The sequence below is a fragment of the Homo sapiens genome, chromosome 1, assembly GCF_000001405.40.
Source record: "Homo sapiens chromosome 1, GRCh38.p14 Primary Assembly".
Lineage (NCBI taxonomy): Eukaryota > Metazoa > Chordata > Mammalia > Primates > Hominidae > Homo > Homo sapiens.
The window spans coordinates 15540128-15552348 of NC_000001.11; the positions used below are offsets into that span (position 1 = coordinate 15540128).

The following is a 12221-nucleotide window of genomic DNA, read 5'->3' on the forward strand; positions in this document are numbered from 1 at the left end:
CCAGCCTGACCAATGTGGTAAAATCCTGTCTCTACTAAAAATACAAAAATTAACTGGGCATGGTGGTGTGTGCCTGTAATCCCAGCTACTGGGGAGGCTGAGACAGGAGAATTGCTTGCACCAGGGAGGCAGAGGTTGCAGTGAGCTGAGATTGCGCCACTGCAGTCTGGCCTGGGCGACAGAATGAGACTCCGTCTCAAAAAAAAAAGAAAAGAAAAAAACCACAAATGTAAAACACCAAATATTTATCATTCTTTATTCTATTTCTCCAACCACAGCCTCCCACGTAGCTAGGACTAGAGGCACACACGGGCATGCCCAGCTAACTTTTTTTTAGACTCATCACGTTAATCGTCACAGATCCCAGAGCCAGACTTCCTGGGTTCAGATCCCATCACCGTCACTTGCCAACTCTGTCACCCTGGGACTTCACCTCTCCATGTCTCAGTTTTCTTATAGGTAAAATAGAGATGGTGAAGATTGGTCTTAAACTCCAGGAGATACGAAAGAGATGGTGAAGGCTGGTCTTAAACTCCTGGTCACAAGCGATCCTCCCGCCTCAGCCTCCCAAAGCACTGGTATTACAGGCATGAATCACCGTGCCCAGCCAACTTTTCAGTTTCTAATTCAGGTTTCTGTGTGCGCTCGGTCTGGTATAACGTATACTGAATGGCACAGTTACTAGAAAGGCATATTTCCCAGGATCAGTTCATAAATTGGCATTCAATCTATATAGCAATCCCTGGTAAGGTCATTTAGGGTGAGTCAGTCACTGAGAAATTGATCCCTCTAATGTTCAGAACCTGGGGCAGAACTGGTCATTGGAGGCAGTAAGAAGTCCAGGCTTTGTGGTCAGCTAGAACTAGATTCAGATCCTGGTTCCACTGCACACAAACCATGATGCCTCACCCTCCCCCAGCTTCAGTTTCCTTAGCCATAAAGATAGCAATACTTACCTTGCAGAATGATTGTGAGTATGAAAAGTATAATGTATATAAAGCTCTAGGTGTGCTAAAGAAGGCACTCAAGAAGTGATAATCCCTCCCTTGGGCCTTTGTCTTGTAGCCAGTTGACCTCCCTAGGTGATGTCTCTTCTGTCTTTACGAATGACCAAATCTCCCAATGTATGTGCCTGCTTTATTCTTTTTCTTTCTTCTGCTCATATAATTCTCTGTATGCTTCCATTTATTGACATTGTTCCATAGTTATTTTTAATGACTGCAGTGTGATATAGTATACTGTACTTGGCTCTAGAGAAGAGCCAAGAATCCAATTTGGATTCTTGTTCTGCAATTCTGTCAGCTCTGCAACCTGGAAAAAGTCACTTTACCTCTCTGAACCTCTCTCTGTATCTGTAAAATGAGGGAAGCGGACTATACAATTCCTAAGGCTCCTCCTTTCCTGCCCTTGAGAGACTGCAACAGTCAAAGTCAGGTAGCCTACAGAGAGCTTGGTTTAGTCTGCTCAGCAGTTTTAAAACATTAAGTTTGGGATCCCTGCCATTTACTCAGCAATTTCATTTTAGGAATTTACTAATTAGAAAATAAGCGCACAAGAGCACAAAGATGTATGCACAAAGATGTATGTACAAAGATGTACAAGGATGCCCGTCAGCATTCCTTATAATGTTAAGAATTAGGCTAAAAGCAACTTTAATATTGTGCTTTATAATAAGAAATATATGTATATTTTGGTGTTTGTTCCCAGTTCCTGGCACAGATCTCCTAACACCCTTGAGATTGCCTGATCAATAGGGGTGCTAAGATAATCTTTTGCTCTCGTATTTGATCTTTGACTCTGATTCCTGAGATGGAGCACCTAATCCTTGGAATTTCCTGCAGGATGGGAGCATCTTTTGTTCTATTGAGGCGACTCTTAGTGGGCCCCTGTGTGGGAGCTGGTCACCAGAAAAAACAAACCATGATTAGAAGTTTGAAAGTTTCACCCTCATCCTCCAGAAAGAGGAGAGGGGCTGGAGATTGAGTTAATAATTGATCACGCCTGTATGATGAAGCCTTCATAAAAATCCCTGAACTCTGGCTCGGTTTCCTGGGGGGTGGGCTCAGTCTACACCACCTCCCCTCAGCCAAGCCTACAGTAGAGGGCCCAGGCATCCTCCCGTATGGGAGAGGCGTTTGAGTAAGGAGCCTCACCTGGGGTGTCCTAGCCTCACATTTACTGGCAAAAAAAATGAACATATATATATATTTAATCCCTGAACTACTGGGTTTGAGAGTTCCCAGGTGGCTGAACACATGGAGGTGCCTGGAGGGTGGTGAGCCCTGGGAGGGCAGGATGCTCCCACCCTTCCATATACCTTACCATGTACCTCTCTTCCTTCTGGCTGATCATCTGTCTCCTTTGTAATATCCCTTATACCTAATGAGTAACCATAAGGAATGTTCCCCTGAGTTCTGTGAGCAGCTCGAGCAAGTTAGTTGAACCCAAGGAGGGTCATGGGACCCTTTGATTTATAGCCAGTTGGTTGGAAGTACAGGACACAACCTGGGACTTCTGGCGTCTGAAGTGGGAGCAGTCTTACGGGACTGAACCCTTCACCTGCAGGACCTGATGCTTCCTCTGGGTAGATAGTGTCAGAACTGAGTTGATACCCAATTGGTGTCTGCTGGAGGATTTATGGGGAACCCCCACCCCCACAGCGTGTGGTGTCAGAAGGGAAGCATTGAGTTGGGCATAGTGGCACGTGCCTGGAATCCCAGCTACTCAGGTGGCTGAGGCAGGAAGATCGCTTGAGCCCAGGAGTTTGAGACCAGCCTGGGCAACATAGTGAGACCCCATCTCTTACACAATGAGTGTCAGGGAAAGCATTGTGTTGAGTGTGAGTAGGAAAAACAGGTTGGTTTTTCCTCTCTCACAACTTCAGTGTGCAACAATAAATGAATTAAATAGATTGATGGCCCAGTTTCAGTGAGCTCCTACTATGTGCCAGGCTCTGGTCTGGTGTTGGGGATACATCAGTGGACTACAAAGGGATCCCTATCTTCATGAGGCTTACATTCTAGAAGGGGAGACAGACAATAAACAATTGACAGAAGGAAAGTGGGTGGTACCTTAGAAGATGGTAAACGCTGTGGAAAAAGTTAAAGTGAGCAGGTTGTGTGTGGACCCTGAGTGTGGGGAGTACTGTTTTAAATATGGTGCCAAGGTAGGCCGCATTCAGGACTTGAAGTTGGTAAAGAAGTCAGCTACGCAGAAGTCACGGAGATGCACACTTCAGGCTGAAGGAACAGCCAAGGCCCTGAGGCAGGAGCATCCACTGTCTTCATAGCACAGCAAGGACGCTGGGGACTGGCGCAGGCTGTTGGAGGAGTGGAAGAAGAGGGCATGGGGAACCAGGGGCCAAACACAAAGGGTCTTGTTGGCCTCTGTGAGGATTGTGCATTTTATTCCAGCTGAAATGGGTCTTTGCAGGGTTTGGGCAGAGGAGTGATGTGATCCATTTTTATGTTTTAGGAGGAGCAGCCTGGCTGCTATGTTAAGAACAGACTGTCAGGAGACAGGGAGAAATAGGGGGAGAGCATTTAGGATATTATTGCAGCAACATAGGCAGGAGAGATAATGATGACTCAGAGCAGGGCATATAATGAAAGTGATGAAAAACAGTTGAATTCCAGACATTTTCTAAAGAGAAAACCAACAAGACTTGCCGACAGATTGGATGTGGGGTGCAACAGATAAGAGAAGCCAAAGATGACGCTTACAGTTTTTGCCCTGAGTAACTGGAAGGATGGAGCTGTCATCAACTGAAATGGCAAAGACGTGGGTAGGACAGGTCTGTGGGAGGAGATTAGGGGTTCGTTTTTGGAAATGTTAAGCTTGAGAAGTCTAGTAGACATCCAAAAGAAAATGTACATTTATCGGCCTTTAATATTGAATGTGTCTCCAGTGTTAGCAGAGTAACTGGCCCTCCAAATATATGGTTGGATGAAAGAACAAGAAAAGTTGTTCAAGTATTAAGTGAAATAAGTATGAGATGACCCCATTTTGTTTTATGTATATGCATACACACACACACACACACACACACACACACACACATTTGTAACTCTTCTTACATATTGCCAGATTGCTCTACAGAAAAACTGAACCAATCTAGAATTCCAGCAGTGAAAGAATGCTAGACAGTCTATTAGGAAAGACATCTCCTATGAGGTCGGGATTTCAATTTCACACCAAAAAATTACTTAGCACTTTTTCCAGCTGCCATGGAGACATAAAAAGGCTTCATTTGGATCTTCCATTCTTTTCAGGTGTAGGAATTGGCGTGGTCCATGCTGGGTATGAGAGACGCCTGGCCCATCACCTAGGGGCACACAGCACGCCCTCTATCCTAGGAATCATTAACGGGAAAATCTCCTTCTTCCACAATGCAGTTGTCCGTGAAAATCTGCGACAATTTGTAGAAAGTCTTCTTCCAGGGAACTTGGTGGAGAAAGTAAGTATCTGTCAAGGAAACTATGGCTGAGAAGTAGTTTAAGAGGTACCTAGGACTGTTAATTGCCCAGAACATTTTCTGTAGTCCTCTCAAACCTGAGTTTCATTGTGAGGAAGGCATGACACTTATTAATTAATTAATTACTCAAACTAAATCGTTTAAGTGAAGTCTGTAGGAGACTAATAATTGAAACAGATGAAGTACAGAGACTGAAAGAATTAATTCCTATTAATACCCATCTTGCAGAACTTACACTGTCATAGGAATCTGAGCCTAAAATGACAGTGCCTATTTTCTAAACAAAAAAATTAAATCACATGTTAGAAAGAATTAGGGATTTCTTTCTGGCTCATAAATTTGTTCATGTGAAGATATTTGTCTTTATGCAAATTTAATTATATTTGGTTATATGTTTAACGATCATATCTATGGAAAATGCCAGATTCCATGAAATCAAATATTATTTTTGAAACTTCAGAAACTTACAGTGACAATAATATGAATGAATTTCACAAAGAAAAGGTTGAAATAGAGAAGCCAGATAAAGTTCACATTGGTCTATTATTTCCATATTTAAGCACCTAATATGTTTTTTTCAATATCTTAATTTAGGGATCAAAGTAACTAGGAACGGACTCTCATTTTGCTTTAAATAATTCATTCTCTTAAGAATACAGGGAAAGTGAACATAAAAAATTTTCATCGTATTTCTACATGTGCTATTCCTAGACTGTCCTACTGGGATCATTATCTATAGGAGAAATATTTGTTGGAATTAACTTAAAAGTTTGTCAGAGAATATTGGAGGCTTCTAAAATGGTGATAGATTGTCCTGATAGATCCTCAAACATTTACATAAAATATCTCTTCTGTGCCCGGCATAGATTAACATAGCCGTTTCAAGCAGCTCCCAAGCGGGTGGTTATTTCCAGTATGTTGGAGCCCATCGTAATGAGTTGGGAAAGGCTTCCTGGCAGAAGTGACCCTTGGACCAGGTTGGGTTGCAGGCAGGCAGAAATCTGGAGACATGAAATAGCCCGCTTTGTAAGAAGTTTTCACTGGTGAGCAGCAGAGGAGGGGGATGGAGAGGTTATTAGGAATCTCCCTGTGAGGGCCTCAGAGCACCTTCACGCTCCTTTAAGGAACTTGGGCCTTGGCCCACATGGAGCCGTTGTAGGGGTTTGAGCAGAAGAGTGAAATGATCAAATTTGAGTTTTATATAAATCATTCTAGATGCAGTATGGAAAGATAAACTTTTTTTAACGACTAAGAAAAATTTCTAGCTAGATAATTTATTCATGTTTTTAATTTCTCTCAGGAATATTTTAAGATATCAGTGGAGGAAAGTAACAATTCAGATAACAATAAATGAAATTATATAATGTATAGAGGGGGTGGACCAGCTTATTTTTATTTACGCCGTTTAAAAAGAGCAAGCTGGCCTGGAGTGGTGGCTCATACCTGTAATCCCAGCACTTTAGGAGGCTGAGGTGTGAGCATCGCTTGAGTCCATAAGTTCAAGACCAGCCTGGGCAACATACTGAGACCCAATCTCTACAAAAAATGCAAACATTAGCCAGGCATGGTGCCATGTACCTGTAGCTCCAGCTATTCAGGAGGCTGAGGTGGGAGGATCACTTGATCCTGGGAGGTTTGGGAGGTTGAGGGTGCAATGAGCCATGATCATGCCACTGCACTCTAGCCTGGGCAACAAAGCAAGACCCTGTCTCAGAAAAAAGGGTGAGGGGCAAGCTGGGAGACTGAGGTGTGATAGATAGATGGGAGACTGAGGCATGATAGATAGATGATAGATAGATAGATAGGTAGATAGATAGATATTGAAAGGGGCAGTTGTGTGTTATTTTCTGCTGGCTAGTATATTAAGAAGTATACTCTGTAATTAAGCAAGAACCAACTCTGGAAGCTCAGTTTTTATAATATGGTCAGTAATTGTTTCAGACAGGATTATGATTTCAGTCTGTAAGAGTTCAATGAAAATATGAAATCAATATCACCATTCTTTTAATAGCTTTAGCCAAATGAAGACAAAAAGATTAGTTATCTGCATTTTTATTTTTTGCAATCTTTTACACTTACTTGATTTGTTTATTTTCTCCTGACTGGAGTATAATACAATTGTTAAGAATTAAATATTGAGACTAACATTCTATTTTCAATTTAAGGTTACAAATAAAAATTACGTCAGATTCCTCTCTGGCTGGCAGCAAGAGAATAAGCCTCATGTCCTTCTGTTTGACCAAACGCCCATTGTGCCACTGTTATACAAGGTACTTTCTATGCTAGGATAATGGTTTCTTTTTCTTTTCTTTTCTTTTTTTTTTTTTTTTTTTAGCAGAAAGTAATCTCTGAGTTGGAACTTATAGCCTATTTGTCTTTTTTGTAAGAAACAGTTTCATCCATGAGAAATGTTTGAAGACCAGAAATTTTACATAACCATCATACATTGAGTACTGATTAATGCCAGTTACTGTGTTAGTGCTTTCTATGCACATATCATGTAATCCTCAGAAGAACCCAGTGATGGAGATACTATCCCTGTTTCTTTTTTTTTTTTTTTTGAGACAGAGTCTCGCTCTGTCGCCCAGGCTGGAGTGCAGTGGCGCGATCTCCTCGGCTCACTGCAGCCTCCATCTCCCAGGTTCAAGCGATTCTTCTGCCTCAGCCTCCCAAGTAGCTGGGACTACATGTGCGTGCTACCATGCCCAGCTAACGTTTCTATTTTTAGTAGAGACAGGGTTTCACCATGTTGGCCAGGCTGCTCTCGAACTCCTGACCTTGTGACCCACCTGCCTCAGCCTCCCAAATTGCTGGGATTACAGGCATGAGCCACTGTGATGGGCTTTTTTTTTTTTTTCGGAGACCAAGTCTCACTCTGTTGCCCATGCTGGAGTGCAGTGGTGTGATCTAGACTCACTGCAACCTCCGCCTACCGGGTTCAAGCAATTCTTTCACCTCTGCCTCCAGAGTAGCTGGGACTGCAGGCACACACCACCACGCTCGGCTAATTTTTGTGTTTTAGTGGAGATGGGGTTTCACCATGTTGGCCAGGCTGGTCTTGCACTCCTGACCTCAAGTGATCCGCCCACCTCGGCCTCCCAAAGTGCTGGGATTAAAGGCATGAGCCACCACGCCTGGCCACTATCCCTGTTTGCATAGAGCAAGATACTGAGGCTTAGAGCAGTCATATAACCCACCCAAGTTCTCACTACAGCATGGTGAGCGCGATTCCCACTGACTTCAGACCTGCCCTGTGAATGATTCCCCCACTACACTCCCAGCCTACCTACACTCCCCACTACCTCTCATGTCACTGTGACATGAGACGGAGAGGAAGGTGTTATCAGTGGCATGGTCACTGCCATCTTACCTAATTACGGTACAGGTAATCCCCAAACTCATGCCTCCTGACCAGTACAGATTTCAAGAAGATCGTTATTTTGCTTTAGCTATGAAAAAGAAGAGAGTTGTTTGTATTTACTTTGTTGGTACAGTTTTTGCACATGGAACACCATAGAATGGAAGTATACAAGGATACGGAAGACCTAGTGGAGCTGTGTAAGCTGGCATGTACCTCTCTGCTCAGTGATGTGAAAAAGCCCTACTTGATTTGTCATTTACATCTTTGCTGTAGTTTTATTTTCTTCCTCTCTATTATGCCCTAACAGTTGACTGCCTTTGCATACAAAGATTATTTATCATTTGGATATGTATATGTGGGTTTGAGAGGGACGGAAGAGATGACAAGGCGGTACAACATCAATATCTACGCCCCTACCCTCTTGGTCTTTAAAGAACATATAAACAGGCCTGCCGATGTTATCCAGGTACGTGAGGGTCACCTTGGTTAAGATTTTCTTCACATTTTATCCCAAGATTTTATGTAAATAAACAGCAAAATTGAACAAAGTGGCTGAAGGAAAGGATCTTCCTTCAGATGCACAAAATTTTTTAATGAATTTTTTTATCTAACTTGGTACCGTTTGCTTTAAAATTTTTAATTTAAAACGTTTAAAAATTTTAGCACCTTTAAAGGGCTCCTGTTGGAAAACCAACAATCTTTTTCCAAAATGAATTTAAAAGTTAAATGTAAAACAGTAATAAAAAGGAATAAGAAGAAGCCACAAACTAACTGAGAGAATGTACAGATGAATATTTATCTGATCTTAAGGTAGGAAAGGGTTAAAAAGCATTGGGGAAAAATCTTGGAAAATCTTGATAACTTGACTCTAAATTTTATGTTTTTATGTAAATACTTTAAAATGTAAAGTTAAAAAACTGGGGGAATATTTATAACAAATATTAAAATGTTGATATTTTTAATTTCTAAAGAGCTTTTAATCAAGAAAATCATAAAATTCTGAGAAGACTAATAACCATTTTTAAAAATTAAATCTCACAAGTAATCAGAGAACATTAACCTTTTTTCACCCATCCAACTGTCAAAGATTTTCTAAGTTAAAATAGTACTGTTGAGGGTATAGAGAAACAAGTACTATCTTGCTAGAGGCAGTCCACTCTAATGGCAGCTCAGGTGTCCTGTGAACACAGAAGGGTACCTGAAACCATGGAAACCAGATGGGAAAGTGGACCGTAAAGAAAGAAGAGCAGGTTTAGAAAGATAAGAACTTTGGCTGTGGACATACTGAATTAGAGCTGCCTGTAGGAAATAGAAGGGGAGAAGTCCTTTCTACAGTTGGGTATAGGAATCGAGATCTTAAGAAAAGCATACAGGCTGGGGATAGAAACTGGTGTATCATCAGTAAATGGTTAGTGGTTGAAGTCCTGAGTAGGGTAAGATCTTCCCGGCATAATACCGTAGTCTCCCCTGATCCACCCCACTTACCCCTTTTTCAGTTTCTGAGGTTTCAGTTACCCACAGTCAACCAGGTCCAAAACATAGGTGACTACAGTGCAAGAAGATATTTTGAAGCCGGGCGTGGTGGCTCACGCCTGTAATCCCAGCACTTTGGGAGGCCGAGGCGGGCAGATCACGAGGTCAGGAGATTGAGACCATCCTGGCCAACGTGGTGAAACCCCGTCTCTACTAAAAATACAAAAAATTAGCCGGGCGTGGTGGTGGGCCCCTGTAGTCCCAGCTACTCGGGAGGCTGGGGCAGGAGAATGGCGTGAACCCAGGAGGCGGAGCTTGCAGTGAGCTGAGATCACGCCGCCCACTGCACTCCAGCCTGGGCGACAGAGCAAGACTCCGTCTCAAAAAAAAAAAAAAAAAAAAAGATGTTTTGAGCGAGGGGGACCATGTTCACATCACTTTATTACAGTATATTGTTAGAATTGTTCTATTTAAATATTGTTGTTGTTAATCTCTTGCTGTGCCTAATTGATAAACTTTATCATAGGTATGTGTATAGGAAAAAAACATAGTTTGTATAGAGTTCAGTACTATGTGGTTTCAGGCACCTACTGGGGGTCTTGGAACGTATCCTCTGCAGTTAGGGGATGACTGCTGTATGTAAAGTAAGGCCAAGGAGGCCAAGGACAAAACTCAGAACAGCCACCGGCACACAAGACAAGGGGGTGCCTGATGGAGACGAGAAGGTGCTGCAAGTCAGGAAGAAAACAAATACCAGTGTCCGAATAGAAAAGAGAAGATAATCTCAATCCAGGGTAAATGGATGAGGATTTCCTAAATTGGTCTTTCGGAACAGTTTATAGTTCTGAGAATTATATTTATTTATCCCACTGGGGAAAATTGTAAATCAAATACATTTACAAAATTATTGGTAGAATGGCTGCTTTACCAGCTTGCTCTTTGTGGATATCAAGTGTATGCTTAACAAACTCAGTTTTCACAACAGCAGGTGGCTTAATGATCACTAGTAGCACCAGTGGTTTCCTGTTGCTCTAGGTAATTTGTTGTCATTGCTATATGGTATTTATGGCCATTATAATTTATTGAATCATTCTTCCGTTGGTGGACATTGGGGGCTTTGAGGAATAGTGTTGCAATGAATATCATAACCTAAGTACAGAGTTCTCTAGGACAGCAGTTTTCAGAATGTGGTTGATAGACTCCTGGGGATTCTCAAAGATCCTTCAAGAGAAAGTCTGTGAGATCATATCAAGACACGATTTGCCTTTTTCACTGTGTTGACATTTACACTGATAGTACCAAAGCAGTAGTGGGTGAAGCTGCCAGTGCCAGTGCATGAATCCAGGCAGGGCACCAGGCCACCTACCATCATTGTGTGCTTCACCCCCAATCACTCGCAGCAAAAACAAACCACTAGATTCACTTCATGTATTTTGTTTTCTTTTGTTTTTGGAGACAGAATCTCACTCTGTCGCCCAGGCTGGAGTGCAATGGCATGATCTCGGCTCACTGCAACCTCCGCCTCCCGGGTTCAGGCAATTCTTCTGCCTCAGCCTCCCGAGTTGCTGGGATTACAGGCACCTGCCACCATGCCCGGCTAATTTTTGTATTTTTAGTAGAGATGGGGTTTCACCATGTTGGCCAGGCTGTTCTTGAATTCCTGACCTCAGGTGATCCGCCCACCTCAGTCTCCCAAAGTGGTGGGATTACAGGCGTGAGCCTCCGTGCCCGGCCTCACCTTATATCTTTGATGAAGCAGTAAGAAGTGTTAATTTTATTAAACCTTAACCCTTGAGTGCATGTCTTTTTGATGGATTTAATATTCTGTGTGATGAGCTGGGAAGTGTGCATAAAGCTGTCCTGCTGCACAACAGAGTACAAATGTCCTGAGGACAAGTGCTTACCTTGCCACTTTTCTTAATGGAATATCATTTTTACTTGGAAGAATGACAGACAACTATGGTTATTTAGACTCGGGAATTTGGCAGACATTTTCTCTAAAACAGATGAAGTGATGTGGCACTTTAAAACAAACAACTGGTGGTATTTATTGCCAGTGATAAAATTCAGGCTTCCAAGAACATTAGAATTTCGAAAAATTTGTACTGGCCATCATGACAGCTTCTCAGAATTTTCTGATGAGATTGGTTCATCAAAGTGATGTGGTTTTTTTTTTTTTTGCTTTTGTTTTTGTTTTTTAGAGGATCTCACTCTGTCACTCAGGCTGGAGTGCAGTGGCACAGACTCGGCTCACTGCAGTTCCGACTTCCTGGGCTCAAGTGATCCTTCTGCCTCAGTCTCCCGAGCAGCTGAGACTACAGGCATGCACCACTGGCTAATTTTTTTAAAAAATTTTTTTTGCTGAGGCAGGCATATCATCTGAATTCAGGAGTTCAAGACCAGCCTGGCCAACATGGTGAAACCCCGTCTCTACTAAAAATACAAAAAAGCCGGGTGTGGTGGCATGCACCTGTAATCCCAGCTACCCGGGAGGCTGAGACAGGAGATTCACTTGAACCCAGGAGGCAAAGGTTGCAGTGAGCCAAGATTGTTTCACTGTACTCCAGCCTGGGTGAGAATGAGACTCTGTCTCAAAAAAAAAAAAATTTTTTTTGTTTGAGAGACAGGGTCTCACTTTGTTGACTAGGATGGTCTTGAACTCCTGGCCTCAAGTGGTCCTCCTGCCTGGGCCTCCCAAAGTGCTGGGATTACAGGTGTGAGCCACTGCACCCAGCCCGTTCTTTTTTTAATAAGTATAATAAAATATGTTGGCCAGGCGTGGTGACTCAAGCCTGTAATCCCAGTACTTTGGGAGGCTGAGGCAGGTGGATCATGAGGTCAGGAGTTCGAGACCAGCCTGCCCAATATGGTGAAACCCTGTTTCTACTAAAAAAAAATACAAAAATTAGCTGG

The 12221-nt window shown here is 42.6% G+C and overlaps 1 protein-coding gene and 1 non-coding gene across 4 annotated transcripts in view; both read left to right on the forward strand.

Moving 5' to 3' along the window:
- The window catches only part of DNAJC16 (DnaJ heat shock protein family (Hsp40) member C16), a 44886-nt gene that overhangs the window by 13280 nt on the left and 19385 nt on the right, over positions 1 to 12221 (forward strand). For all 3 annotated transcript variants that reach the window (NR_109898.2, NM_015291.4, NM_001287811.2), the window contains 3 exons: positions 4272 to 4456; positions 6640 to 6744; positions 8143 to 8301. Coding sequence is in view for 2 of the 3 variants with exons in the window: in NM_015291.4 (NP_056106.1) it covers positions 4272 to 4456; positions 6640 to 6744; positions 8143 to 8301 (449 nt within the window). In the remaining variant the exon portion in view is untranslated. The remainder of the gene's footprint in view (positions 1 to 4271; positions 4457 to 6639; positions 6745 to 8142; positions 8302 to 12221) is intronic.
- Positions 2039 to 2177, forward strand: SCARNA21B (small Cajal body-specific RNA 21B). Its single transcript, NR_135613.1, has one exon.